Source organism: Homo sapiens, chromosome 19 (genome assembly GCF_000001405.40).
Source record: "Homo sapiens chromosome 19, GRCh38.p14 Primary Assembly".
NCBI lineage: Eukaryota > Metazoa > Chordata > Mammalia > Primates > Hominidae > Homo > Homo sapiens.
The window spans coordinates 15,353,385-15,381,021 of record NC_000019.10 but is presented as its reverse complement, the minus strand read 5'-3'; the positions used below and the strand labels follow the sequence as shown (position 1 = coordinate 15,381,021).

General features: G+C 53.7%; 2 protein-coding genes and 1 long non-coding RNA gene across 5 annotated transcripts in view, besides 7 other annotated features; 2 read left to right on the top strand and 1 right to left on the bottom strand.

Annotated features, from left to right (window-relative positions):
* The window catches only part of AKAP8L (A-kinase anchoring protein 8 like), a 38,939-nt gene extending 37,967 nt beyond the window's left edge, over window positions 1-972 (top strand). For all 3 annotated transcript variants that reach the window (NR_111971.2, NM_001291478.2, NM_014371.4), the window contains 2 exons: window positions 410-505; window positions 592-972. Coding sequence is in view for 2 of the 3 variants with exons in the window: in NM_001291478.2 (NP_001278407.1) it covers window positions 410-505; window positions 592-900 (405 nt within the window). In the remaining variant the exon portion in view is untranslated. The remainder of the gene's footprint in view (window positions 1-409; window positions 506-591) is intronic.
* Window positions 264-1,178: an enhancer, noted in NCBI's record as "H3K27ac hESC enhancer chr19:15490655-15491569 (GRCh37/hg19 assembly coordinates)". NCBI's record gives its function as "activates a minimal SCP1, AML or CMV promoter by ChIP-STARR-seq in naive H9 embryonic stem cells {active_cell/tissue: H9 hESC(naive)}" and the evidence as "EXISTENCE:reporter gene assay evidence [ECO:0000049][PMID:30033119]".
* Window positions 264-2,094: a biological region, named in NCBI's record as "H3K27ac hESC enhancers GRCh37_chr19:15489739-15490654 and GRCh37_chr19:15490655-15491569".
* Window positions 610-1,099: a silencer, noted in NCBI's record as "silent region_10278". NCBI's record gives its function as "represses an Ori minimal core promoter by ATAC-STARR-seq in GM12878 lymphoblastoid cells {active_cell/tissue: GM12878}" and the evidence as "EXISTENCE:reporter gene assay evidence [ECO:0000049][PMID:35858748]".
* Window positions 950-1,244: an enhancer, noted in NCBI's record as "tiled region #9920; HepG2 Activating DNase matched - State 1:Tss, and K562 Activating DNase unmatched - State 1:Tss". NCBI's record gives its function as "activates a minimal TATA promoter and a strong SV40 promoter by Sharpr-MPRA in HepG2 and K562 cells {active_cell/tissue: HepG2 | K562}" and the evidence as "EXISTENCE:reporter gene assay evidence [ECO:0000049][PMID:27701403]".
* Window positions 1,179-2,094: an enhancer, noted in NCBI's record as "H3K27ac hESC enhancer chr19:15489739-15490654 (GRCh37/hg19 assembly coordinates)". NCBI's record gives its function as "activates a minimal SCP1, AML or CMV promoter by ChIP-STARR-seq in primed H9 embryonic stem cells {active_cell/tissue: H9 hESC(primed)}" and the evidence as "EXISTENCE:reporter gene assay evidence [ECO:0000049][PMID:30033119]".
* Window positions 1,235-27,637, top strand: AKAP8 (A-kinase anchoring protein 8). The gene is made up of 14 exons (NM_005858.4): window positions 1,235-1,309; window positions 4,008-4,046; window positions 6,387-6,419; window positions 6,957-7,236; window positions 7,682-8,171; window positions 8,675-8,804; window positions 9,024-9,070; window positions 10,843-10,876; window positions 12,700-12,787; window positions 18,771-18,912; window positions 19,200-19,293; window positions 20,044-20,174; window positions 21,960-22,055; window positions 25,652-27,637. Exons 1-14 carry the CDS (start codon window positions 1,291-1,293, stop codon window positions 26,105-26,107), a joined length of 2,079 nt encoding a protein of 692 aa, NP_005849.1. The 5' UTR covers window positions 1,235-1,290; the 3' UTR covers window positions 26,108-27,637.
* Window positions 1,440-1,989: a silencer, noted in NCBI's record as "silent region_10277". NCBI's record gives its function as "represses an Ori minimal core promoter by ATAC-STARR-seq in GM12878 lymphoblastoid cells {active_cell/tissue: GM12878}" and the evidence as "EXISTENCE:reporter gene assay evidence [ECO:0000049][PMID:35858748]".
* Window positions 18,888-27,637, bottom strand: part of LOC124904643 (uncharacterized) — a 29,522-nt gene continuing 20,772 nt past the window's right edge. The window contains exon 4 of the long non-coding RNA XR_007067146.1: window positions 18,888-18,971. This is a non-coding gene — a long non-coding RNA (uncharacterized LOC124904643). The remainder of the gene's footprint in view (window positions 18,972-27,637) is intronic.
* Window positions 20,825-20,964: an enhancer, noted in NCBI's record as "active region_14184". NCBI's record gives its function as "activates an Ori minimal core promoter by ATAC-STARR-seq in GM12878 lymphoblastoid cells {active_cell/tissue: GM12878}" and the evidence as "EXISTENCE:reporter gene assay evidence [ECO:0000049][PMID:35858748]".

Genomic DNA, 27,637 nt, shown 5'->3' with positions numbered 1-27,637 from the left:
TGTTCCTGTTTTTATATCTTCCCCGTTGGCCCCAAAGTGCTCCTTGCCTATTAGCCTAGTTGGCACCTTGTTACAGGTTGCACCCACCTTTGGCTCTTAGTTTCTTAATTGTTCACTGCTTATAGCTTTTTTGTAAGCAAATCAGATTTCTGTAATACAGCCGTAAAGTTAGAGATATATAGATCTGTATTTTTATTTACCTACAGTAAGTGTGGTGTGGAAGGAGAGGGAATTTGAACAAAGATCAGATAGGTTGTGGTTCCATGCTTGTGGAGTGGCCCTCCGTTGGTGGGGCTGGAAGTGCGTGGGTGCAGGGGCGGGGTGGGGTCCCTCTAAGCTGGCAGGGTCGGGGCAGCAACTTGTAGGGCACTCAGAGCAGCCTCTCCAGCTCCTTCTGCCCTGCCCGCAGCTCATGATGGAGCAGTCCAAGAAGTCCTCCCTCATGGTGGCCCGCAGTATTCTCAACAACAAGCTCATCAGCAAGAAGCTGGAGCGCTACCTGAAGGTGAGGCACTGGTCCGGGCCTGCCCTGTCCCCAGCTTAGTCCCCGCCTGTGCTCCCTCCCTTCAGTGTCCGCGCCCCTCCCCACAGGGCGAGAACCCTTTCACCGACAGCCCCGAGGAGGAGAAGGAGCAGGAGGAGGCTGAGGGCGGTGCCCTGGACGAGGGGGCGCAGGGCGAAGCGGCAGGGATCTCGGAGGGCGCAGAGGGCGTGCCGGCGCAGCCTCCCGTGCCCCCAGAGCCAGCCCCCGGGGCCGTGTCGCCGCCACCGCCGCCGCCCCCAGAGGAGGAGGAGGAGGGCGCCGTGCCCTTGCTGGGAGGGGCGCTGCAACGCCAGATCCGCGGCATCCCGGGCCTCGACGTGGAGGACGACGAGGAGGGCGGCGGGGGCGCCCCGTGACCCGAGCTCGGGGCGGGCGGAGCCCGCGTGGCCGAAGCTGGAAACCAAACCTAATAAAGTTTTCCCATCCCACCTCCGGGTTTCTCTGTTACTGTGCCGCGCGGGCGGGGCGGGGTGGGCAGAGGGGCGGGGTGCGCATGCGCGCGGGCCGGGCCGTCGGGCACCGCGGTGGGACCACAACTCCCATTAGGCCACGGAGCTGGATCGTAGCAGCCCGAAAGGCCAGCTGGGACGGCGAGGGCGGGCCCTCGTGAAGACCAGCCAATGGGGGCGCGCGGAAGTAGTGACGTGTGCGCCTGGTCTTCCAGTAGTCGATGGCGGAGGTGCGCTGAACGCATGCGTGCTGTGGTCGCCTAGTAAACGGGGCTGCTGGTGGGCCGCGTCGAAGACATGGACCAGGGCTACGGAGGTTTGTGTTGGCTGCTGGGTGCGGAGCGGGGAGGGAAGGCTCTGTGCGGGCGACGCAGCCGCTGCGCAGACTGCCGCCGGCCGGGCCTTCGTCCCGAGCGTGGTTGCCCCAGCTGGGCCCTCCGGAGAGGCGGCCAGGGCGCGCGCGCGCCGCTCATTGGGCTTTGGCGCCGTCGCTCCCGGGGCTCTGCGTGCGGATTGGCCGCCAGGCCCCGAGGAGGCGGGCGGGACTCGGGGTTGGGGCAGACGCCGCGGTGGGCTTCGTGGGGGCGTCTTAGACAGTGTGGGCCGTTTTTGCCCCTCACCTTCGGCGGAGTCCTTCCGGCCCCCAGCGACCCCGGGGTTTGCACTCCCGGCTTCCTCTTCCGAAGACGCCACAAAATGGCGGCGCTAGGGGGGCGGAGCTACAGCGTGGGGTTGTGAGGTCGGACCCGGGGAGCTGGGTCTGGGGCCGCGGGCGGACCGCGGGGGCCGCCTCTCTCCCGACCTGCCCTAGGCCCGCGGGGCCGTGTAGGGTCTCCGCTGGGCTCACGTGGCCCAGGGCGCCTGTCCCGGAAGCCGTCGGGCTGCGCGGGGTCGGGCCTTTAGTCCCCGGTGCAGCGCGGTGGGGCCGAGTGCTGCCGGCGCGAGAGTCAGCCTCGCCGGGCTCCAGCTCTGTACCCGGCGCGTGCTGGCTTGGGACAGGATGGTGAGGGGCAGATGCTGAGTGTTCGTATAAAGCTGGAAACCTGATGTGCCCTGGGGCTGGTGACATTGGCAGTTCTCCTTTAGGCAGTCTGTTGTGGTGGCCTGGAGGGGCCGAGGGGCTGTGCAGGAGGGAACGTGTCCTTTCCCCACTAGGATTTAGCGCTTGGCCTGCAGTAGGGCCGATCTTCTCGAGCTGCCTGCTCCCTGCTTCTGGAATCAGAGCCTTTTGGGAGCAAAGTTTGCCCACAGGGGATAGTTGGGACATGCTGGGTGGAGCTCGACTGGTTGTAGAGAAGCTAGTGGTCTGATCCTGGCTGCAGGAGCTCGAGAAGTTGTCGATCTTGAGAAGTGGCAGGGCAAAAGTATCCCAGCACCAGAAATTGCAGAGAGAGGTTTCGGTCCTGAGGCGGCAGCGTGCGCGGTGTGCTTTGGTGTCTTCCGGGTCCTAGCGAAGGCTCAGCCTGGCTCTCCTGGTCTTCCGCAGCCTGGGTAGATTTCACCATTCTTTCCCTTCTTTCCCATCAGATCTTTTCTGCAGGTATTGTATTCCTTCTTTTCATTCTTAGTTTGGAGAGGTTTTTTTTACCCCCTCTTCCTACCTGCCGAAAACCTTTCAGACACACTGGAGATAGTTAAGCTTCCCTGATTTCTTGTGTTTCCGGGAGCGTTTTAAGGTTAATAGTGCGTGCCACTTACACTAGAGCTTCACAGAGAAGCAGTCTCTCGAGGTTGGTTACTTGCTGTTGGAATCTGCAGTCTGCCTTTCTGCTGCACGGATGCGAATTTAGAAGGTTTTGCGGTATGACGGAGGGGAAGGCGTAGCATAGCAGAGGGCAAAACTCAGCAGTATGACTGGGTCAAGTCTCGTAACCCATGAGCCTAGCTCCCTTGTCTCTGAATGGCATTCCGGACAACAGGGTTTGCTGGGTGCTTGCGGTGTATCGGCACGCACTAGGCACTTAGCCGGGGGCGGGGGAGTTGTTCTGGTGAGGGAGACATGGATATGTTCCTGCCTCATCAAAGTGAAGTCATTTAACAGGCATGGTGGCCACCCGCGCGCAGCTCAGTGCTGGGCCCCAGGGACACAGAAATAAAGAGAACACAGTTCCCATTCTCCTTCCTGGAGGGACCAGACAGATGCCATAGTGGGCGGGGGGTGTGGAGGGGTGAAGAGTGCTGTCTGATGCCTTAGGGCCAGGCGAAGGCTCTGGGACTTAAAGGTCCAGGGGATCCGTGGAGGCCTTAAAAGTGGCAGGAAGGGCCTGGCGCGGTGACTCACGCCTGTAATCCCAGCACTTTGGGAGGCCGAGGCTGGCGGATCACGAGGTCAGGAGATCGAGACCATCCTGGCTAACATGGTGAAACCCCGTCTCTACTAAAAACACAAAAAATTAGGCGGGCGTGGTGGCAGGCGCCTGTAGTCCCAGCTACTCGGGAGGCTGAGGCAGGAGAATGGCGTGAACCCAGGAGGCGGAGCTTGCAGTGAGCCGAGATCGCGGCACTGCGCTCTAACCTGGGCAACAGAGCAAGACCCCGCCTCAAAAAAACAAAAAGTGGCAGGAAGTGCAGCTTAGAAAGATGCAATTTATGTCACTAAATTCCCATGCTTGTTTTCAGTTACGAAGTACTTGTGATGGCACTCTGAACTGGTTTCCTAGCTGTGTGGTGGGTGGGGGAACGTGTCCTCATGCTGAGTGGATTGTCTTGTGTTAGCCTCAGTTGTGGATGAAATCTTGGAGAGGTGAGGTCCTTGGCCAAGGTCCCTCTGCAGGGCGGAGCTGACTTCCAAGCCCACTTCCCACCCTTCTTTTTCTGCTTTGATCTCAGCCAGGTGGAATGCGATGACGCCATTAGCCAGTTGTGTGATGGCTTTTTTTTGGTGGGGTGGGGGGGAGTCTTCCTTCTTCTAAGGCTGGCACTGAACTGTAAGGAGATCCCTTTAGGAGTACCCCCAAAAGGACCCGTTCTCTGGTGTGACAAATAGAATTTTAACTCACGGGGTCTTCTTGCAGGCTACGGGGCGTGGAGTGCTGGACCTGCCAACACCCAGGGTAAGTGGGCTCTGCTTTGCGGGTGAGGCGTGGGCTTCCCCTAACTCAAGGCCCTAGCATGGCAGAGCTGAACTTGGGTCAAGGGAGAGTAGTAGCCCAGGGGTCAGCAAACTTTGTGTAAAAGATCAGATAGTGAATATCTTTGTGGCTTTATGGGCTCCACAGTCTCTGTAGCAGGAAAGCAGTCATAAATGTGTGAAAGAGTGGATGGGACAATGCCAGTAGTTACTTACAGACAATACAATTTGAAGTTCCTAATTTTTGCGTGTTAGTGAATACTCTATTTTGGCAAAATATTTTTGTTATTCTGAGTAAATAGCTGAGGGTATATCCGAGGTGTTTTTTCTCTATAATTACCAGACTTTTTAGTACAGCTTTAGATTGAGTAGTGGAGTTTCATACGCCCACCCACCTCCACTCAGGTGTACTGAGTGTACACTACACCTGTAGTGAGTGTACTAAAAATCTCATTAGTATGATTTTTTTTTCTTTTGATACAGAGTCTTGCTCTGTTGCCCAGGCTGGAGTGCAGTGGTGTGATCTCGGCTTACTGCAGCCGCAGCCTCCCGAGTAGCTGGGATTACAGGCACCCACCACTGCGCCCAGCTAATTTTTGTATTTTTAGTAGAGACAGGGTTTTACCATGTTGGCCAAGCTGGTCTCGAACTCCTGACCTCATAATCAATCCCATAATCAAAGTGCTGGGATTACAGGCGTGAGCCACCACGCCTGGCCTCATTAGTAAGATCTTTCATTAGCTGGGCGAGGCAGCACACGCCTGCAATCCCAGCACTTTGGGAGGCTGAGGCAAGAGGCTCACTTGAGCCTGGGAGTTCGAGACCCGAGCTCAAGTGATCCTTTTATCCAACTAATGAAAAATTAGTGGGGCGTGGCAGTGCGTGCCTGTAGTCCCGGCCACTCAGAAGGCTGAGATAGGAAGATTGCTTGAGCCCAGGAGGTAAGGCTGCAGTGAGCTGTGATTATGCCACTGTACTCCAGCCTGGGTGACAGAGCACGACCCTGTCTCAAAAAAAAAAAGGCCAGGCACGGTGGCTCACGCCTGTAATCCCAGCATTTTGGGAGGCCGAGGCGGGCAGATCACGAGGTCAGGAGATCGAGACCATCCTGGCTAACACAGTGAAACCCCGTCTCTACTAAAAATACAAAAAAAATTAGCCGGGCGCGGTGGCGGGCGCCTGTAGTCCCAGCTACTCCGGAGGCTGAGACAGGAGAATGGCGTGAACCCAGGAGGTGGAGCTTGCAGTGAGCCGAGATCGCGCCACTGCACTTCAGCCCATGCAACAGAGCGAGACTCCATCTCAAAAAAAAAAAACAAAAAAAAAATCTTGCATTGGTGTGATGCATTTGTTACAATTAATCAGGCAATGTTGATGTGATATTATTCACTATAGCTCATAGTTTTTGTTAATTTGTATAGTTCTCTGAGTTTTGATCCAGTGTGTAAGTGATGTATCTCATGTCAAAATTTGTCATTGAATACACTTTAGAAACTTTACCCCAACCATTTAAAAACGTAAAATTCATCCTTAGCTGAGGGCAGAGCCTGAGAGCACAGGGCTACGGGCAGTGTGCTGGTACTTATTTATGGGCACCGAAATTCGAAAATCCTAAGGGCTGTGCCAAGGCGGGAAGTGGGCTGGGTGTGGCTGGACTTTTTGCAGATCCCTGCTTTAGAGTCAGGGCCATGATGCTAGGCTTGTGTGGCGAACCAGTGCATGCTCTCTGCTGGCGAGGCTTTCTCCTTTCTGCCAGCCCGTGTTTTAGGGCACGAGGGCTTCCTTTGTTTTCTGAGCCTGAGATCTGACTCAGGCAACATGGGGAGTGGGGCTGCTTTTGAGCCACCACCCGGTGTTTCAGGAGGAGGCCTTCCAAGTCGCTCGTGGCACATAACGTCCTCTTTTTCGCTTGAGTTGAGGACGTGACTTTGCACCAATGCTTCGCTGTGCAGTTGGCAGCGCCTGCACTCTGGCTTCTGATGGGAACTGACCCTTTACGAGGTCTCTGCCTGGGGCCTGGCCTGGCCAACCTCTTGGCCAGCAGCCCACAGTGGACGAGCTTCCTGGGGAGCGTGCGGCGTCCCTTCCCTTGCCCTGACGGACGGTTGGCCTTGCCCGGGATAGAGGGCTTGCTTGTGCTCAGCCTCTCAGCCTAGTGCTCTGTAGGAGTTGAGTGAGCTAAAAACACCCAAGGGTGTCTCCCTGAGCGCTGCGGAGGGAAGCCCTGGCCCTGGGGCTGTGGAGGGTGGAGCAAGGTGACAGCTGGGGTGTCAGTGCCTTCGTTCTGCAAACAGGGCTCTTGTGTGTTTCTGTTTCCCCTAAGGTGCATATGGAACTGGTGTGGCCAGCTGGCAAGGTAAGCCCTTCTGTGGGGGGGGTCTGTGGGCGGGCAAGTGGGCCTCTGATCTGAAGGCCAGGCGGGTCAGCCCGTCAGGGAGGTCTGGCGTGGACTTTCTGGCTCTGTTCCTGAGGACGCAGTCAGCCACGGCTGCTGTTGTGTATATGGGGGGACTGCAGAGGGCTGTGGTGGGCGGCCTCAGGGGAGCATGATGGGGAGGACTGCGACCGTGCTTTGGGAGCAGCGGTCCTTTGTGGGGCCTGTCAGCAGCCGGAACTGCTGTTCCCAGGCTCTCAGTCACCCGGCTTTGAATGGGGAACAGGTCCTAGCGTCTGGCATGGAAAACCCGCCGCTCGGCACTGAGGCTGCCCCTTTCTCTGGCCACCTCCTGCTGCCTCTTGGCAGGTCACAGTGCAGTGTGAAGTGATGCCAGCAGCACTGGGTCCCACACCCGTTTTCCTTCTCCGTGGCAGCGGGTGCCCCTCCCCGGTTGTGTCCACCATGGACAGGCCTCGTGGCTGCTGAAGTCTGACTTGGCTCCTCCCCCTGTGACAGGTTATGAAAACTACAATTACTATGGCGCCCAGAACACCAGTGTCACCACAGGCGCAACCTACAGCTACGGCCCAGCCTCGTGGGAGGCCGCCAAGGCCAATGATGGCGGCCTGGCGGCCGGGGCCCCTGCCATGCACATGGCCTCTTACGGCCCAGAGCCATGCACCGACAATTCCGACTCCCTCATTGCCAAGATCAACCAGCGTTTGGACATGATGTCCAAGGAAGGAGGCAGGGGCGGGAGCGGCGGCGGTGGGGAGGGCATACAGGACCGGGAGAGGTGATTATGGACCCAAGCCCTCCCCCGGGACCCCACACATCCCCACCTTTGTGCGCATGGGAGTGGGCACCCACTCTTGAGGGAGGGCCTGTCCCCGCCTCCCTCTTGGGTGTGGCATTGACGAGTTGGGCTCGTGGGGGGTCAGTGATGTTACAGTAGGACTTCCTTGCTTTTCTTCATGGCGGGGCTTGGGCGTGGTTGTTGGCTAAGCTCCCCGAGACTCCTTTTTTCTACATCATGCTATTCCTGTGGCCAGGGGCTCTGTCCCCTGCTCAGCAGTGTTCCAGGGAGGGTGTTGGTCAGTTTTGGTCATCCCAGCACTTAGGTGGGATGCAGGGTGGTTTGGTTTGCTGTTTTGAATGTAGGGGCGTCGAGGTTATACTGAGGGAGTGTGGCAGTGGGTGATCGGGGTGACCGCCCCTGATGGGCTGTGCTTCTGTTGCAGCTCCTTCCGCTTCCAGCCGTTCGAGTCCTATGACTCCAGGCCCTGCCTGCCGGAGCACAACCCCTACCGCCCCAGCTACAGCTACGACTATGAGTTCGACCTGGGGTCCGACCGCAATGGCAGCTTTGGGGGGCAGTACAGTGAATGCCGAGACCCAGCCCGGGAGCGGGGCTCCCTTGATGGCTTCATGCGGGGCCGGGGCCAGGGCCGCTTCCAGGACCGGAGCAACCCTGGCACCTTCATGCGCAGCGACCCCTTCGTGCCCCCCGCTGCGTCCTCTGAGCCCCTGTCCACGCCCTGGAACGAGCTGAACTACGTGGGTGGACGGGGCCTGGGAGGGCCCTCCCCCAGCCGGCCACCTCCGTCCCTCTTCTCCCAGTCCATGGCTCCCGACTACGGCGTGATGGGCATGCAGGGGGCGGGCGGCTATGACAGCACCATGCCCTACGGATGTGGCCGCTCGCAGCCTCGGATGCGGGATCGGGATCGGGTAAGCCCTCGCAAGGTTCCTTCCGGCCGCCTTCGCTTCTCTTTTTAGCAGCTTTATTGAGGTAAAATTTCCCCATCTCAACATTCACTTAAATGTTTTTAAGTGCGCAGTTCGACTTTTAGTTAATTTACAGGATTGTGCAACCATCCCCACCATCACAGTCTAATCTTAGCATTTATGTCAACCAGAAGAGAAACTTCTTCTCATTAGTCACCCCTGTCTCTTCCCCGCCCCCACCAGCCCCCGACAACCACCACTGGTCTCTGGATTTGTGTGTTCTAGACATTTTGCACAAATGGAGTCGCGAAACGTGTGGCCTTTTGTTCCTGGCTTCTTTTCACTCAGCATGATTTTCTTTTTAGTTTCAAATTATGTTGTCTCTTTGCTTTTTGAAAAGACCTTTTGTGCCTGTGTTGTCTGATCCTACAACCTCCTTGTTCTTTTCTGTGGGGCATCTTCATGGCCCTCGTAAGTAGCTCATGGGGTGTGCTTGTTGTCTGTAGCCCAAGAGGAGAGGGTTTGACCGCTTCGGACCAGATGGCACGGGCAGGAAACGGAAGCAGTTCCAACTTTACGAGGAGCCAGACACCAAACTGGCCCGGGTTGACAGTGAAGGAGATTTCTCCGAAAATGGTATGTCCTGGGGGCCAGGTGGGCCAGACAGATGTAGGATGGGTCGGCTGCCTGCTGGGGGCTCTGCTTGCCCCATCTGTGTCGTGGACACTCGCAGGTGGCATGTTTCAACCCCACTGTGGTCAGGGCAGACTCACCCTGGATGGCGAGCTTGGGAGGGCGGAAACCGGATGGGACCGTTCTCCGGGGACTGACTTTTCCTTTCTTTGTGTCTGGCAGATGACGCAGCTGGTGACTTCCGCTCAGGAGATGAAGAATTCAAGGGTGTAAGTCCACCAGGCAGCCCTTTTGCCTCTAGTGTGGGATTTCTTCTTTCTTTAATCACCCTTCCTCACAAAGGGGCAGGAGCAGCTGCCATGGTAGATTTGACTACCTCTGAGTGGATTCAGGACCCTGACTTTTAGCTAGATTTCTAAAAGTTTTCCACCTTAGCCGGCACGGTGGCTCACACCTGTAATCCTAGCACTTAGGGAGGCTCAGGTGGGTGGATCACTTGAGGTCGAGAGTTGGAGACCAGCCTGGCCAACATGGTGAAACCCCGTCTCGATTAAAAATACAAAAATTAGCCAGGAGTGGTGGCACTTGCCTGTAGTAGCAGCTACTTGGGAGGCTGAGGGAGGAGGATCACTTGAACCTGGGAGGTGGAGGTTGCAGTGAGCTGACGTTGCATCACTGCACCCCAGCCTGGGCGACAGAGGGAGACTCCGTCTCAAAAAAAAAAAAAAAGTTTTCAACTTACAACAAACATTCCTTTTCTGAAAAAAGCTCCCAGTTCCTCTCCCTGGTCTCTAGGCCAGTAAGTGCAGGGACTGTGGGCTGAAGCCTCCAAGCACAGGCTGGAGGCTCATTTGCCGCCAGCTCCGTGCCGGGTGCCGCTGACTGGTGTCCTCATCCTTCCATCCTCACAACAAGGCACAGGCAGGCAGCACGTGGGGCCAGTTCATAGCCGGGACCACCCCAAGCTCTTGGGGAGGTGCCTCAGCCACCCCAGTGTAGATTCTGATCCAAGTTGGAGGTGTAGGGCCTGGAGGTCCAGAGTGGGAAGGAGGGCCTTCCCCAAGTCCTTAGAGTCACACAGGCAGGGAACAGGCAGGAGATGGTGGCTTTTCAGGTTTTCAGAGTCTCACTTGATCCCTATTTTGCTGGTCTTGAGATTAGGAATCTCTGTAAACCTGCTGATTGTTAATTTAGCCGTATGTTCACTGCCTAAGGAGTCAGCTCTGTTCAGATTCTCAGTTGAATCGTTTTTATCTATACGTGATTGTTATTAAGACATCGGGTAAATATAGGCCTGGCGCGGTGGCTCACACCTGTAATCCCAGCACTTTGGGAGGCCAAGGCGGGTGGATCACGAGGTCACAAGATTGAGACCATCCTGGCCAATATGGTGAAACCCCGTCTCTACTGAAAATACAAAAATTAGCTGGATGTGGCGGCATGCGCCTATAGTCCCAGCTACTCGGGAGGCTGAGGCAGAGGATTTGCTTCAACCCAGGAAGCAGAGGTTGCAGTGAGCTGAGATTGCATCATTGCACTCCAGCCTGGGAGACAGGGCGAGACTCCGTCTCAAAAAAAAAAAAAAAAAAAAAAAAGACATTGGGTAAATATAAACAAAAGCTCGGGAAACGTGGTGGAACCCATTTTCTATGAAGAATGCCAGAACTGGCATCCCCCAAGTGAGACTCTATCTCCCTACGGTTGGTGAACAGGCTCCATTCATAGAATTGTACGGGTGGGTCTTTGTCATGGGGCAGGCAGTTCTGCAGCTTAGGAGGAACCGAGAGAGGGTGGGTGAATGGCTTTTTAGCAAGGTGATTGTCACAGAATCTCTGAAGGCAACTAGGAGTAATAACAGGACACACAGGCCCTGTCCTGAGCCCCGGAGGCTGGTCCTAACACACTGTGGCTCATTCTTGGTGGCATAGCAACCTAGGTCTTGGGTGAGACTGCCCACCAGGCAGTGGCCAGGGACTGGGCTGGTTGTGGAGAGTCTGGACACACCAGCTCACTGCCGGACTTTGTGTATACTCTTTTCCAGGAGGATGAACTCTGCGACTCTGGGAGGCAAAGAGGTAGGCATCACCGTGTCCCTTGCAGCTTTCCTGTGTCTTCCCAGCTGCCCCGCACTTACTGCCCAGCTTCTGAGCAAGCCAGGGGCCTGGATGGAGGGGCCCGTGGCTGTGGGGGAAGAGGGGCTGCAGCCACCAGATGGGCCTTGACCGTGGCGATCAGCCAACACTTTGCTTCAAAGTGTCTGGGGCAGCATTTACTGGAAACGGGTCTGTCTGCCTGACCCGATGTGGGCTGCAGTGGGGATGGGGGGCAGCCTTGGGTGTCCACCACAGTCGAAGTTTGTAGGGAAGGAGAAACATGAGAGAAGAGGCCCCCAGCCCATCTTCTGTGCCCTCCTCGGCCAGTGCATTTCCCTGAAGTGTTTTCTCTGGGGCTTCCTTTTGTCCAGTTCCTTCAGTCGCCTGCCCTGGGCTGTGCTGTGGGCCTCTGTGGTGGGGATACTGGCAGCTGCACTGCACATTGCTTCGTGCCTGCGAGTGTGTGACAGCAGACACCTGCGGGGTCGGGAGCACCCAGGCCCACTGGGTCTTTGAGAGGCGGGCGCCCTTCAGCAGGTCTCTTCATGTCCAATGCAGGAGACCAGAGGGTCTGCAGCAACAGCAGAGCAGGCTTAAATCCCTCATGGCAGAGCGGCCTGAGGTGCCGCGGCCTGGAGCTCACCCTGAAGCCACTCGTTTCTTTACCTGTCCTGTGGGTCTTTCCGTAGCTGGTTACCCCAAGGATCATAGGCTGGCTCCTCAGTGGCCCTGCTCCCATCCATTCTGAAGGCCCTTGGCTTAGATGTTCCTCCTGTTCAGGCTTTGCCAGCCCTCTGCGGTCCTCCCCCCCGCGACCCGCAGCAGTCCTGTCCATAGCACGGGGCGCCCCGAGCGCTTAGCGGCACAATGCTAAAGCAAAGGTGACATGTCTGTTGCGCGCAGGTCCTGCTACCTACCCGGGATGACTTTGCTATTAAACAGCAGTCATAGTTTCAGGCAGTGACCTCTTGCCAAAAATCCCACACGCCCTTTTGAGAGGCTTCTGAGCAGCGCACGCCGGTCGCCATCTTCGTGGGACAGTCTCGGGACTGGCATCAGGGGTAGGGGTTACAGTTCAGATGCTTCTCCAACCTTTTTTCAGCGTCCGTCCCTGGCCTCATGCTGGGATGATGGCCGCGTGGCTCTCCGAGGAGCTCCTCTGCTGGCCCCGGGGGACGGACGGGAGGACCAATTGGTCTCTTCCCAAATTTTTTTCTAGGATTGCTTCCCACGCAGCCCTGGGAAAGCCCTAGATTGACGGTTTTTGTGAGTGGAAGATAGAGGTCGGGCCAGCAAGGACTGTCAGACCTGCTGAGGCCCTAGTTCAGACGGGGCCGCCAGGACGCTCGTCACAGTCCACCTAGAGGTGGGATAGAGGGCGGCGGAGCAGCTGCTTCACTTCCTGAGGCCTTCAGCTGCCGCCTCTTCATCCGGGGAGAATTGGCTTCTCCTGTGATATTGGGAGAAGACCCCATCGCAGGGCATGAGATTGGACAAGCAGAATGGGGAGGACAGAGGGAGCAGGGGGCTGTGGTGCACATGGGGTGGGCAGGCTGTGTCCCTAGCCCATCCTGGCCGCCTCAGGCCATGTGGGGAGTTTGGTGACTACTCCGGGCTCTCACTCCAGGCCCGTGTCCACCAGGAGTCTCTGACAGTGCCTTGGGGCATCCTGGACCCTGCCGCGTGGTGCAGGCAGTGGCAGGGCACAGGGTGCGGTGGCCAAGCTGCAGCCCCCCGACCAGGCCCTGGAGCTCAGCTCCTTTGCAGGCCACTCAGAGCGTCTCGAAGGGACTTGTCTGTTACAGGAGAGAAGGAGGACGAGGACGAGGATGTGAAGAAGAGAAGGGAAAAGCAAAGGAGAAGAGACAGGACGCGGGACCGTGCAGCCGACAGGTGAGGCGCGGGCACACGACCCCACAGGAGGAGGTGGACTCGTGCGGTGGAGGCGCTGCCGAGCTCACCTGTCCTCGCTCCACAATGCTGGGGGCCTGGTGGCCTGACTCCTCTGGCCAAACCAGTGGGAGGCAAAACAGTAAACAATTGGGAGTGCAGAAAAGACCATCACTCGTGCTCCCAGCACACGAGCTACCTGTCTTCTAGGATGGCTGGGACGTTGCTTTGGTGGTTAGGTTTCTGTTCTTGCTTTAGAGGATTGGTGTTTGACTCCTGTGTCTCTATTCCTCTGGAATCCCAGCCTTGCTGGTGGGTCTGTGTGGTCCATAACTGCTCAGCAGCGGGCTCTGTTACTCTCCTGCAGGCCTGAGGGGCATCCCTGCCCCCTAGCCTGGTGTCTGGCATCTCAGACACTGTCCTGTGTTCACCTTATCCAAATCCAGACCACCCCTGGAGTTTGACACAGCTAGGAGACAGGTAGAGAGATGATCCTACCATCAAGATTTTGTCCCACAATAGAAAAGGATTGCAAAAATGTTGAGCCCAAAGGATGTCATTGTGAGCACACCATGTGCCTGCCTCTCCCTGCCAGGAGTTAAGTGGCTTCTGACTAGAAACTGAAATCACCAGTGATCATGTGATGCTGGGGAATCCTTGACCTTAAGGTTCACATGGGACAGTGATTTTCTTTTTGTTTGTTTGTTTCTGAGATGGAGTCTTGCTCTGTCGCCCAGGCTGGAGTGCAATAGCATAATCTCGGCTCACTATAACCTCTGCCTCCTAGGTTCAAGCGGTTCTCCTGCCTCAGCCTCCCGAGTAGCTGGGATTACAGGCGCCTGACACCACGCCTGGCTAATTTTTGTATTTTTAGTAGAGGTCGGGATTCACCGTGTTGGCAAGGCTGGTCTTAAACTCCTGATCTTGTGATCTGCCCGCCTTGGCCTCCCAAAGTGCTGGTATTACAAGCGTGAGCCACTGCGCCCAGTCTGGGCAGTGATTGTCGTGTTCAAAGAAATGCTTAGTAAAAGGGGCCAGATGCCGTGGCTCACACATGTAATTCCAGCACTTTGGAAGGCTGAGCTGGCGGATCGCTTGAGGCCGGGAGTTCAAGACCAGCCTGGTCAATATGGTGAAACCCATCTCTACTAAAATTACAAAAATTAGCCAGGCATGGTGGCAGGTGCCTGTAATCTCAGCTACTCGGGAGGCTGAGGCAGGAGAATCACTTAAACTGGGGAGGTGGACTTTGTAGTGAGCCAAGGTTGCACCACTGCACTCCAGCCTGGGCGACAGAGCAAGACTCTGTCTCAAAAAGAAAAAGAAACGGGCTGGGGGCAGTGGCTCACGCCTGTAATCCCACCACTTTGGGAGGCCAAGGCAGGCGGATCACCTGAGGTTGGGAGTTCGAGACCAGCCTGACCAACATGGAGAAACCCAGTCTCTACTAAAAATACAAAATTCGTCCGGCATGGTGGCGCATGCCTGTATTCCCCGCTGCTCGGGAGGCTGAGGCAGGAGAATTGCTTGAACCCAGGAGGTGGAGGTTGCAGTGAGCCAAGATCACACCACTGCATTCCAGCCTGGGCAACAAGAGCGAAACTCTATCTCAAATAAAAACTCCATCTCAGTGAGCCGAGATTGTGCTACTGCACTCCAGCGTGGGCGACGGAGCAAGACTCCATCTCAGGAACAAAAAAAAAAAAAGAAAATCACTGTTCCATGTGAACCTTAAATCAAGGATTCAAAAAAAAAAGAGAGAAATGCTTAGCAAAACGAAGCCAGGAACCAAACGCAGAACTGTTTCTTCTTAAGTGGTACAGGAACATTGAAACCCTTGTTATTTTAAACAGATAAATGGATAGAGTAGATGACTTTTCATGTCACATGGAAACTGAGATGACATTTTCTTTTTAATTATTTTTAAACTTAAATAATCTAATAAAGAGATAGGGGTCTTTCTCTGTTGCTTGGGCTGTTGAACTAGCCTCAAGAGATCTTCCTGCGTTGGCCTCCCAGAGTACTGGGAGAAGGGTATAGAGATGACATTTTTTTTTTACTACTTTTTGCTTTTTTTTTTTTTCTTTTTGCTTTTTTTTCATCTTGTATGTTCTTCCAATGAACAGGTGACTTTTTTTAAAAAAAAAAAAAGAAACCTTCAGAGTGTGCGCTAGTGACTGAGGATCTTTTTCTTTTTTTTTTTTTTTATCCTTTGAGATGGAGTCTTGCTGTGTCACCCATCCTAGAGTGCAGTGGCACGATCTCAGCTCACTGCAACAGTCCACCTCCTGGGCTCAAGTGATCCTCCTACCTCCGCCTCCCAAGTAGCTGGAATTACAGGCGCCCGCCACCACACCCAGCTAATTTTTGTACTTTTAGTAGTGACGGGGTTTCACCATGTTGGCCAGACTGGTCTCAAACTCCTGACCTCAGGTGATCCACGCACCTTGGTCTCCCAAAGTGCTGGGAGTACAGGCATGAACCACCGCGCCTGGCCATGACTGAGGATCTCGAAGGGACTTGGAGGAATTCTCACGGGGAGGCAGAGGTGTAGCAGGGAAGCACACAGCTCATCAGTAGCTTCCTGACAGTGCTGTGTATGAGCCCCGGGAGATTGTCCCCTCCCCGCCTACGTAGGGGCTGTCTGCAGAAGCGGAGGTGTCTTCATGTTGCTTGTCAGAGGTCAGAAGCCAGGCATGTGGAGTTGGCAGAGGTGAAGTCCTGAGTGCCACAGGGCCTGCACCCCTACACCAGAAGGGGCAGGAGCCTCCAGGAGAGAGCCAGGGAGGGAGCACCCCAGTGTGGTGGCCTGGGGGCCTGCAGGCTGCTCTCCCTTGCCATGCAGCGTGGTTGCATTTGGGGAGACTTTGAAAGCCTGTGACAAAGAAGCCTCACTTTTTATCTGTAGAATTTGATGTGACATGTCTTTACGTGTAGTCTCATGGCAGAACTGATACTGGGTTTTGTGTTTTGAATTGTGCGAGGTGTTTTGTCTGCACGTAAAATGAGGTTGCCTTATGTCATCCCAGTTCCTGCAGAGAGGAACTCATCTGAGAAGCTGTGAAGCTAGATGCTGGGCCCCAAGAGCTGCCAGCCAGAGCCTAGGGCGTCCCCAGTTCCAAGCAGTTGCAGCTTTCTGGTGTTTTCTCAGGGGCTTTGGGGCCAGAGGGGCTGCAGTGCCAGCAGATTACTATGCGAGTCATTTTCCTGAGATACCTGCAAGCCTGTGTTCCCATTCTTCAGCTGGGGAAGTTTGGGTAACTGCCATTCTGTTGCCCTTTGGGAAGTCGGAACTCTTGGTTCAGCAGCCACTTTCCCTGGCTGAGTGCGGTGGCATGCACCTCTAATCCCAGCTACTTGGGAGGCTGAGGTGGGAGGATCGCTTGAGCCCAGGAGTTTGAGAACAGCCTGAGCAATACAGTGAAATCTCATCTCGAGAAAAAGAAAAGTCTGGGTGCGGTGGCTCACGCCTGTAATCCCAGCACTTTGGGGAGGCTAAGGCAGGTGGATCACCTGAGGTCAGGAGTTCGAGACCAGCCTAGCCAACATGGTGAAACCCTGTCTCTACTAAAAATACAAAAAAAAAATAGGCTGGGCGCGGTGGCTCACGCCTTTAATCCCAGCACTTTGGGAGGCTGAGGTGGGTCAATCACGAGGTCAGGAGTTCGAGACCAACCTAGCCACCATGGTGAAACCACGTCTCTACTCACAATACAAAAATTAACTGGGAGTGGTGGTGGGCGCCTGTAATCCCAGCTACTCGGGAGGCTGACGCAGGAGAATCACTTGAACCTGGGAGGCGGAGGTTGCAGTGAGCCAAGATCGCACCACTGCACTCCAGCCTGGGCAACAGAGGGAGACTCCGTCTCAAAAAAATAAATAAATAAAATAAAATAAAAATACAAAAATTTAGCCAGGCTTGGTGGCGGGCCCCTGTAATCCCAGCTACTCGGGAGGCTGAGGCAGGAGAATCGCTTGAACCTGGGTGTTAGAGGTTGCGGTTAGCTGAGATCGCACCATTGCACTCCAGCCTCGGCAACAAGAGCAAAACTCCATCTCCAAAAAAAAAAAAAAAAAAAGGAAAGAAAAAAAATTACTGAAAATCCTGTTTCTTTTTTTTTTTTTTTTTGCCCACTGCCAATTTATTTATTTATTTATTTATTTATTTATTTATTTATTTTTATTGATCATTCTTGGGTGTTTCTCGCAGAGGGAGATTTGGCAGTGTTTGTGTCCCTGGGTACTTGAGATTAGGGAGTGGTGACGACTCTTGGCATGCTGCCTTCAAGCATCTGTTTAACAAAGCACATCTTGCACCGCCCTTAATCCATTTAACCCTGAGTGGACACAGCACATGTTTCAGAGAGCACAGGGTTGGGGGTAAGGTCACAGATCAACAGGATCCCAAGGCAGAAGAATTTTTCTTAGTATAGAACAAAATGAAAAGTCTCCCACGTCTACCTCTTTCTACACAGACACAGCAACCATCCGATTTCTCAATCTTTTCCCCACCTTTCCCGCCTTTCTATTCCACAAAACCGCCATTGTCATCATGGCCCGTTCTCAATGAGCTGTTGGGTACACCTCCCAGACAGGGTGGTGGCTGGGCAGAGGGGCTCCTCACTTCCCAGTAGGGGCGGCCGGGCAGAGGCGCCCCTCACCTCCTGGACGGGGCGGCTGGCTGGGCGAGGGGGCTGACCCCCCCACCTCCCTCCCGGACGGTGCGGCTGGCCGGGCGGGGGGCTGACCCCCCCCACCTCCCTCCCGGACGGGGCGGCTGGCCGGGCAGGGGGGCTCCTCACTTCCCAGTAGGGGCGGCCGGGCAGAGGCGCCCCTCACTTCCCGGACGGGGCGGCTGGCCGGGCGGGGGGCTGACCCCCCCCCACCTCCCTCCCGGACGGAGCGGCTGGCCGGGCAGAGGGTCTCCTCACTTCCCAGTAGGGGCGGCTGGGCAGAGGCGCCCCTCACCTCCCAGACGGGGCGGCTGGCCGGGCGGGGGGCTGATCCCCCCACCTCCCTCCCGGACAAGGTGGCTGCCGGGCGGAGACGCTCCTCACTTCCCAGACGGGGTGGCTGCTGGGCGGAGGGGCTCCTTACTTCTCAGACGGGGCGGCTGCCGGGCGGAGGGGCTCCTCACTTCTCAGACGGGGCGGTTGCCAGGCAGAGGGTCTCCTCACTTCTCAGACAGGGCGGCCAGGCAGAGACGCTCCTCACATCCCGGACGGGGCGGCAGGGCAGAGGTGCTCCCCACATCTCAGACAATGGGCGGCTGGGCAGAGACGCTCCTCACTTCCCAGATGTGATGGCGGCCGGGAAGAGGCGCTCCTCACTTCCTAGATGGGATGGCGGCCGGGCAGAGACGCTCCTCACTTTCCAGACTGGGCAGCCAGGCAGAGGGGCTCCTCACATCCCAGACGATGGGCGGCCAGGCGGAGACGCTCCTCACTTCCCAGACGGGGTGGCGGCCGGGCAGAGGCTGCAATCTCGGCACTTTGGGAGGCCAAGGCAGGCGGCTGGGAGGTGGAGGTTGTAGCGAGCCGAGATCACGCCACTGCACTCCAGCCTGGGCACCATTGAGCACTGAGTGAACGAGACTCCGTCTGCAATCCCGGCACCTCGGGAGGCCGAGGCTGGCGGATCACTCGCGGTTAGGAGCTGGAGACCAGCCCGGCCAACACAGCGAAACCCCGTCTCCACCAAAAAAATACGAAAACCAGTCAGGCGTGGCGGCGCGCGCCTGCAATCGCAGGCAGTAGGCAGGCTGAGGCAGGAGAATCAGGCAGGGAGGTTGCAGTGAGCCGAGATGGCAGCAGTACCGTCCAGCTTCGGCTCGGCATCAGAGGGAGACCGTGGGGAGAGGGAGAGGGGGAGGGGGAGAGCTGAAAATCCTGTTTCTATTTCAGCTCTCCTCAGAGGTGAGCTGATGCCCCCTGCTTCACTCGCTGATGCTCCCTGCTTCACTCCCCTCCTTGTTTTCCTTCTACAGAATTCAGTTTGCCTGTTCTGTATGCAAGTTCCGTAGCTTTGATGACGAAGAGATCCAGAAGCATCTGCAAAGCAAATTTCACAAAGAGACCCTGCGGTTCATAAGCACCAAGCTGCCCGACAAGACCGTGGAGTTCCTCCAGGTAAAGGAAACCTGGGCCCCGTCACCGCGTCTCTTGCCCATCCCGCAGGTGCCGGATCCCTTGAAGGAGGAAGGGAAATCAGAGGCTATACTTGGCCAAGGTTTCCTTTCCCAGATAGAGTAGCTGTGTAAGTCCCTGAGTCACAGGGACAACCGGGAGCTCCAGCCATCGTGCTGTGCTGCCCCACGCAGCTGCTCTGATAGCTGCCTGCCTAGCCCTGGCAGTTGAGAAATGCCCACATGCGCCCACCTCTCATTTTACTTTATGCCCTCTCCAATCCCACCTAGGAATACATTGTAAACAGAAATAAGAAAATTGAGAAGCGGCGTCAGGAATTGATGGAGAAAGAAACCGCAAAACCAAAACCAGATCCTTTCAAAGGTGAGTTGTCATCCCAGGATGAGTGCTTTCCTGGATGGTAGTAAGGCATGTGACAGGACCCGTAAAACGTGGCACGAGGCCGGGCACGGTGGCTCACACCTGTAATCCCAGCACTTTGGGAGGCTGAGGCAGGCGGATCATGAGGTCAGGAGATCAAGGCCATCCTGTCTGACACGGTGAAACCCCGTCTCTACTAAAAAAATACAAAAAATTAGCCGGGCGTGGTGGCGGGCACCTGTAGTCCCAGCTACTTGGGAGGCTGAGGCAGGAGAATGGTGTCAACCTGGGAGTCAGAGCTTGCAGTGAGCCAAGATTGCACCACTGCACTCCAGCCTAGGCGACAGAGCAAGACTCTGTCTCAAAAAAAAAAAAAAAAAAAGTGGCATGAAGCCAGCCCAAGTTGGCTGAGAAGGTGATGACGAGACCCGTGGGAAGAGCGCTCAGCAGCAATGGAAAGAAACCTTCGGATGTGGCCTTGCATAGATTGCAGCTTATATCAGTGACATTAAGCACTTTCATATCTTTTCCTCCTTGGTTTGAAAAGAAACAACCAGGAGGAACAGAAAAGCTGAAAAGTGCAGAATTCACAGCTATAGAGGCCGATGTGCTGACCCATACTCCCCATAGAAAGGCAGGCTGTGCCCTTCTGATTCCTTAGAGTTGCAGGGAGAAAACGTGGGCCCAGATGGGGAGTAGGAGGAAAGCATCACTTGCTGTCCCAGATCCTACAAGACATGCGTTTCCTGGCAGGGATTGGCCAGGAGCACTTCTTCAAGAAGATCGAGGCTGCTCACTGCCTGGCCTGCGACATGCTAATTCCTGCACAGCCGCAGCTCCTCCAGCGGCACCTGCACTCCGTGGACCACAATCACAACCGCAGGGTGAGTCTTCCTCCCCACACTGCCTGGGGTGCTCATTGCAGGGCTGCGGCTCAGAGCCTGCTGTGTCTTATGGGGAATAACAACATCTTTAGGGGTTCTTGCTATGTTTCAAGTCTATCACTTCCATCGATGGGTCGTAAGATTCGTCTCAATTTTTATAAAAATGTGAGAAAATGTGTTGCTTAGACTCGATTAAATGCAGTAGCTGAGATTCTCCTGATAGTGTTTCCACGTTGGTCAGTTTTCCCACTAGCGGAAGGCCTGGGGGCTTCCATAAGCTGAGACCGAAGGGCCATTGAAAGCTGAGTGGCCCAGGGGACTTGGACTAAAGGACTGGTTCTGTCCTTACCTAGCTGCTGGGGCTTCAGGCTAAATGTTGAGCCCAGGGGTCAAGTGTTGAAGATGCTGGAAAAATACCTTATTTTGTAAAGAGTCAGATCATGAGTATTTTTAGCATTGCAGACCATAGAGGCCCTATCCAGCAACAGCTCTACCTGCTGTCAGTGCAGAAAAGCAGACAGTGAAGAGTGCCTGTGGCTGCGTTTGCTCTGCAGCCTGTCACTTTCTGGCCCTGGGTTAGCAGCTCTCTCCTTAGTTTACTCAGCTATTAAATGGGGAGGTCAAGAGCTGCTCACCCATCTCACAGTACTGTGTTTTGGTTTTGGTTTTGGTTTTGGTTTTTTGGTTTACGTTTTTGTTTTTTTGTTTTTTTTTTACGGAGTTTCACTCTTGTTGCCCAGGCTGGAGTGCAGTGGCACGATCTCAGTTCACTGCAACTTCTGCCTCCCAGGTTCAAGCAATTCTCCAGCCTCAGCCTCCTAAGTAGCTGGGATTACAGGCGCCCACCACAATGCCCGGCTAATTTTTTGTATTTTTAATAGAGACGGGGTTTCACCATGTTGGCCAGGCTGGTCTTGAACTCCTGACCTCAGGTGATCCACCCGCCTCAGCCTCCCAGAGTGCTGGGATTACAGGTGTGAGCCACTGCACCCAGCCCCAGTACTGTTAAAGATCAGCTGAAAAGCAGTATACAAACAAGGGACCATTGTGCAAACAAGTCAGGCTCTAAAACAGAGACTTGGTGCAGTCATGGTTGTGTGTTTGTTTTTTGTTTTTGTTTTTGTTTTTAATTTTATTTTTTGAGACAGAGTCTCACTCCATTGCCCAGGCTGGAATGCAGTGGTACAATCTCAGCTGATTGCAACCTCCATCTCCCAAATTCTCATGCCTCAGTCTCCTGAGTAGCTGGGATTACGGGTGTGCACCACCACACCCAGCTAATTTTTATATTTTGTAGACAGGGTTTCACCATGATGGCCAGGCTTGTCTCGAACTCCTGGCCTCAAGTGATCCACATGCCTCAGCCTCCCAACGTGCTAGGATTACAGGCATGAGCTGCCACACCCAGCATATTCATACTTTTGTTGTTGAACTTATGAAATCAATGTAACCCCAAAAACTGAAAAGAAAGAGCTTGTCCTTTTCCTCCACTGAGTCCACACAGCCTTTCATTTGTAAATGCTCTTGTTTCACCCCCAATTCTGCATGTGCTACATGGGTATCAGTGGTGCATCTTTGCATTTATCTCTTAAGATTGCCTAGCTTTTCCAGTTTGTTAGTCTTGGTTGCACAGTCTCTGGAGCCTTCTATTCTTGGAGGCTGGCGTTTTGAGATTCGCTTCTCTGCATAGGGCTGATCTCAGGATGACTCGGCAGAGCCTGGCTGGTTTATTCTCTTCCTTAATCTTTGCCATTTTTAAGAGCTCACATTTGGTTCCCTTTGCAGTTGGCTGCTGAACAGTTCAAGAAAACCAGTCTCCATGTGGCTAAGAGTGTTTTGAACAACAGACATATAGTGAAGATGCTGGAAAAATACCTCAAGGTTTGTGCTTGCAAGTACCACAGACAGGAAAAGCTTTCAAAAGGGAAGATGAACCCCAGGAGCAGGGAGTTGAATCCAGAGTGCAGCATTTAGCATTTCTGAGTCTTTTGACAGTTGAGGGACACTGGAATGCATCAAGCTCAGGAACATGACAACTGGGATTTCTAATGAGTCAGTGCTTGCCTGGGGACTCTGGGGATGTGGCGCTGCTTGATTAATCAGTGCGTAATGGATTTTTACCATGAAAAATCCTGATTGTTTAGCCTTAAAATTCTGAGCAAATGATGGTTAGGTGATTTTTTAAGAAAAACCCAAGGCTAGCCCTACTCGGGAAGCTGGGATGGGAGGATTGCTTGAGCCCAGGAATTTGAGGCTACAGTGAGTGATGGTGTTACCACTGCACTTCAGCCTGGGTAACATAGCAAGACTGGTCTTGAAAATAAAGGAAAGCGGGGAACCGGGAATTATGGCTCATGCCTGTAATGCCAATAGTTTGGGAGGCTGAGGCAGGAGGATCCCTGAGCTCAGGAGTTAGAGGAGTTAACGATTGCGCCACTACACTCCAGCCCAGGTGACAGAGTGAGACCCCATTTCAAAAAAAAAAAAAGAATCCAAGGTACATGAGAATTTTCCAGGAGAGAAGCTAAAAAGAGATTTCATTGATAGAGCCAACTGACAGTGAGGTTGAAGGTGAGGGGTAGTGAAGAACCAGAGCCTTCATGATGGGAGCAGCATATCGAAGTCCCAAAGTGGGTGCTCATGGAGAGAAGGCTGGTTGGAAGAGCTCCCAGTTCTTCCTTGTGAAACCCATTTTGCTCAGTGTTCATCCCAGGACTTTAGCATTTGGGGCAGGTGGCTAAGTCCCAGCCCACAACCTGACTTCAGGACCTTTGCCCTCCTCTCAGTTACTAAACACTTCCATATTTGACAGTTCCATCTATTAAAGGCACAGAATCTAAATAACCAATTGAAGAAACATGACTGGGCCGGGCGTGGTGGCTCACACCTGTAATCCCAGTACTTTGGGAGGCTGGGGTGGGCGGATCACTTTGAGTTCAGGAGTTCAAGACCAGCCCGGACAACATGGTGAAACCCTGTCTGTACAAAAAATACATAAATTAGCCAGGCGTGGTGGCATGCGCCTGTGGTCCCAGCTACTCAGGAGGCGGAGGTTGCAGTGAGCCAAGATCGTGCCACTGCACTCCAGCCTGGATGGCAGAGTGAGACCTTGTCTCAAAAAAAAAAAAAAAAAAAAAAAGAGGGAGGAAACATGACTGATGTATATTTTACCTTTGCAGCTTAAGCAAGGTAAAAGTTTCCAGAGTCAAGTGTGAGCTCAGGCTTCTAAGCGTCTTTTTTTTTGAGTCAGGGTCTTGTTCTCTTGGTACCCAGCCAAGAGATTCCTGCAGAGATTCTCTGCAGCCTCGAATTCCTGAGCTCAAGAGATCCTCCCCACTCAGCCTGCCAGGTAGCTGGGACTGCAATAGTACACCACCACACCTGGCTAATTTTTTTTTTTTTTTTTTTTTTTTTTTTTTGAGATGGAGTCTTGCTCTGTCACCCAGGCTGGAGTGCAGTGGTGCGATCCCGGCTCACTGCAAGCTCTGTGTCCTGGGTTCATGCCGTTCTCCTGCCTCAGCCTCCTGAGTACCTGGGACTACAGGCGCCCACCACCATGCCTGGCTAATGTTTTGCAGGGGGATGGGGTGGCCGGGCGTGGTGGCTCACGCCTGTAATCCCAGCACTTTGGGAGGCCGAGGCGGGTGCATCACGAGGTCAGGAGTTCAAGACCAGCCTGGCCAAGATGGTGAAACCCCATCTCTACTAAAAATAAAAAAAAAATTAGCCAGGCGTGGTGGCGGGCACCTGTAATCCCAGCTACTTGGGAGGCTGAGGCAGTGAATTGCTTGAATCCGGGAGGTGCAGGTTGCAGTGAGCCAAGATCGCGCCATTGCACTCCAGCCTTGGCGACAGACCAAGACTCCGTCTCAAAAAAAGAAAAGAGAGATGGGGTTTCACTGTGTTAGCCAGGATGGTCTCCATCTCCTGACCTTGTGATCTGCCTGCTTCCGCCTCCCAAAGTGTTGGAATTACAGACGTGAGCCACTGCACCCGGCCACATGCTGGCTAATTTTTTAAGACAGTCTTGCTCTGTTGCCCATGCTGGTCTGGCCTCAAGTGATCCTCCCGCCTTGACCTCCCAAATTGCTGGGGTTACAGGCGTGAGCACCTTGCCCTAAGCATCATATTTTAAAACATGTTTCCTAATCTGGTAATGATAACTTTTAGTTTGCTTGTTTTAGACTACAGATAGTTTTCTATCATATACTTAGGAGAATTTTGACTTCTGAGGGAGTCAGACTTGGATTTGAATCTTGATTCGCCACGTTGCCCAGGCTGGTCTCGAACTCCTGAGCTCCGGCAGTCCTCCAGCCCCAGCCTCCCAAAGTGCTGGGATTACAGGCGTGAGCCACTGTACCTTAATGAAACTAAAATATTACGTAGTGTTAACTTCCTATTACATGCCCTTTATTTTATTTTATTTTATTTTTTTGAGATGGAGTCTGACTCTGTCGCCCAGGCTGCCAGGCTGGAGTTCAGTGGCGTGATCTCGACTTACTGCAAGCTCCGCCTCCCAGGTTCACGCCATTCTGCTGCCTCAGCCTCCCGAGTAGCTGGGACTACAGGCGCTCGCCACCATGCCCGGCTAATTTTTTTTTTTGTATTTTTAGTAGAGATGGGGTTTCACTGTGTTAGCCAGGATGGTGTCCATCTCCTGACCTCGTGATCCACCCATCTTGGCCTCCCAAAGTGCTGGGATTACAGGTGTGAGCCATCACGCCCGGCCTCATGCCCTTTTTTAAAAAACATCAAGTTAAGGCTGGGCTTGTGAACTTTTCCTCGCTGGTACATGCTTGATTAAAAATTGCAGGCCAGGCACGGTGGCTCGTGCCTGTAATCCCAGCATTTTGGGAGGCCAAGGCAGGCGGATCACCTGAGGTCTGGAGTTCCAGACCAGTCTGCCCAACATGGTGAAACCCCGTCTCCACTAAAAATACAAAATTAGCCGGGCGTGGTGGCTCCTGCCTGTAATCCCAGCTACTCAGGAGGCTGAGGCAGGAGAATCACTTGAAACCAGGAGGCAGAGGTTGTGGTGAGCTGAGATCGCGCCATTGCACTCCATCCTGGGCAACAAAGCAAAACTCCGTCTCAAAAAAAAAAAAATTGCAGAATGGGCCGGGCATGGTGGTTCACACCTGTAATCGCAGCGCTTTGGGAGGCTGAGGTGGGTGGAAACCCCATCTCTACTAAAAACACAGGAGGCGGAGGTTGCAGTGAGCCGAGATCGCACCACTGCAGTCCAGCCTGGGCAACAGCGAGACTCCATCTCAAAAAAAAAAAAAATTGCAGAATATCTCCCCGAGGTGTTTTCTGAATCTGTAGGCTCTGAGAACATGTAGGATTCACTCCTGTGGCATAATTTACAGAAGTGTTTCCCTTGTGGACTGCTGGTTCTGAAAAGCTGACATCCCCGCAATCATGGGCCTCCTGAGCTCTGCTTACACCACGCTGACCGGTGTTTCCTCTTTGGCCAGGGTGAGGACCCTTTCACCAGTGAAACTGTTGATCCAGAAATGGAAGGAGATGACAATTTAGGAGGTGAGGATAAGAAAGAGACACCTGAGGAGGTGGCCGCGGACGTCTTAGCAGAGGTGATTACAGCAGCAGTGAGGGCCGTAGATGGGGAAGGAGCGCCCGCTCCAGAGAGCAGCGGGGAGCCGGCTGAGGACGAAGGCCCCACGGACACAGCGGAGGCCGGTAGTGATCCTCAAGCCGAACAGCTGCTGGAAGAGCAGGTGCCCTGTGGAACGGCACATGAGAAGGGCGTCCCCAAGGCCAGAAGTGAGGCTGCAGAGGCTGGAAATGGCGCCGAGACAATGGCAGCAGAGGCAGAAAGTGCCCAAACCAGAGTTGCTCCTGCCCCAGCTGCCGCGGATGCTGAAGTGGAACAAACTGATGCAGAGTCTAAAGACGCTGTTCCCACAGAATGATGCTCATTTCCCTGTTCCAGGGAAGGCGTTGGGATGATGGATGCGTTGGTCTTTCTCCCTTGGTTTGTAAGCAGTACAAGGGCGTGTGCTCCCAGAATATGCTGTAATCTAATTTTGGTGAAGAGACCCAGCGTTTCCTCCTGAGCAGTGCCTCTCACGGCTTGTCTCATGCAGTCGTGTGGCTTCTTGCCCAGGTTTCAAAGCTGAAGTACATTGTCCTTAGCGGCTGTAACATGTCTCTTGACAGTAGTGCACTTGGAATAATAAAGGTTGGGTGATTATATCTTGATGATACATTACTTGTTCAATACAGCCACTGATGGAATGCTTCCTTTTTTATTTTTTTCCTTAATTTTTTTTTTTATTTGGTTGGGAACAGCTGAATACTAGGAATATATCTTGCTCTATAGAGGATTTTTTTTTGTATGTTTCAAGCTTCAGCCTTTAACCTATACCTTTGTAGTGCACCATATGGTGTGTGACTTTCACAGGACTTCGCAGCACCTGGTTCACATGTGGCACTGACCGCGTCACATCCACGCACTCCCAAAGGCCAGAAGTATCTGACCGACCTACGCCACTGGAAACACACCCACCGCAACCTCAAGAACCAGACTGTGCAGAGGGCATTGCGTCCCAATCTTTAGTCCTTGCTGAATCAGTTCTCTAATATTTTACCTCATTTGTGTTCCACCTCTAGATTACTTCAGGTTTTTTTCCTTTAAAATTAGTTACTACCACTCAAATGTATTTACAAAGAGAATTTGGCCAGGCACGGTGATGCATACCTATAATCCCAGCACTTCGGGAGGCCGTGGTGAGAGGATAGCTTAAGCCCAGGAGTTCAAGACCAACCTGGACAACATAGCAAGACCCCATCTCTTAAAAAAAAAGGAAAGAAAACTTGATGTGATTGCCATAGGTGGAATAATCCAACATAAATTGCCATAGATAGAAGGTATCTGTAATATATATATATATATATAAAATGAAATATATGTTTCATTTTAGAGAAATAACTATTACTTTAGATCTTTCCAAATCTGAGAAAGGGAGGCTAGCATGTGTTCAAGGTTAGCACGCAACAGAATTTCCTAAAATCAGAAGAATTGGAAGATCCTCCCCTTTTGAAATGGCCCTGCTGTGTCAGTTTCCCTGTGGCCTTTTGAACTGTACATCTCACATGTTGGGAAACGCTGGCCACTGGGAAATCATTAGAAAGGAGGCTGTAGAATATTTGCCGAGCCTCTACTGTATACCAGGGGCTAACTCACCAAGCACATTCTAGGAATTGGGCCCTGCTCATGAGGAGCCTTAGTGGAGATTCCAGGTGAATATTTATGAAAAAGTCAACATTAGAACTGAAAATGGAAATAAACTGCTTGAAAAGACGATGGTGCCTCTGGGTCATTTCTGCTCAGCATCCGTTTGTGTTGTGTAGATGCGTCTTAATCGCAGGGTGAGCATGCCTTTTAAGCTTGTTCTCTTAAGGCAAAAATGTCGGTAGCATTAAACAGTAGTGCAGAAAAA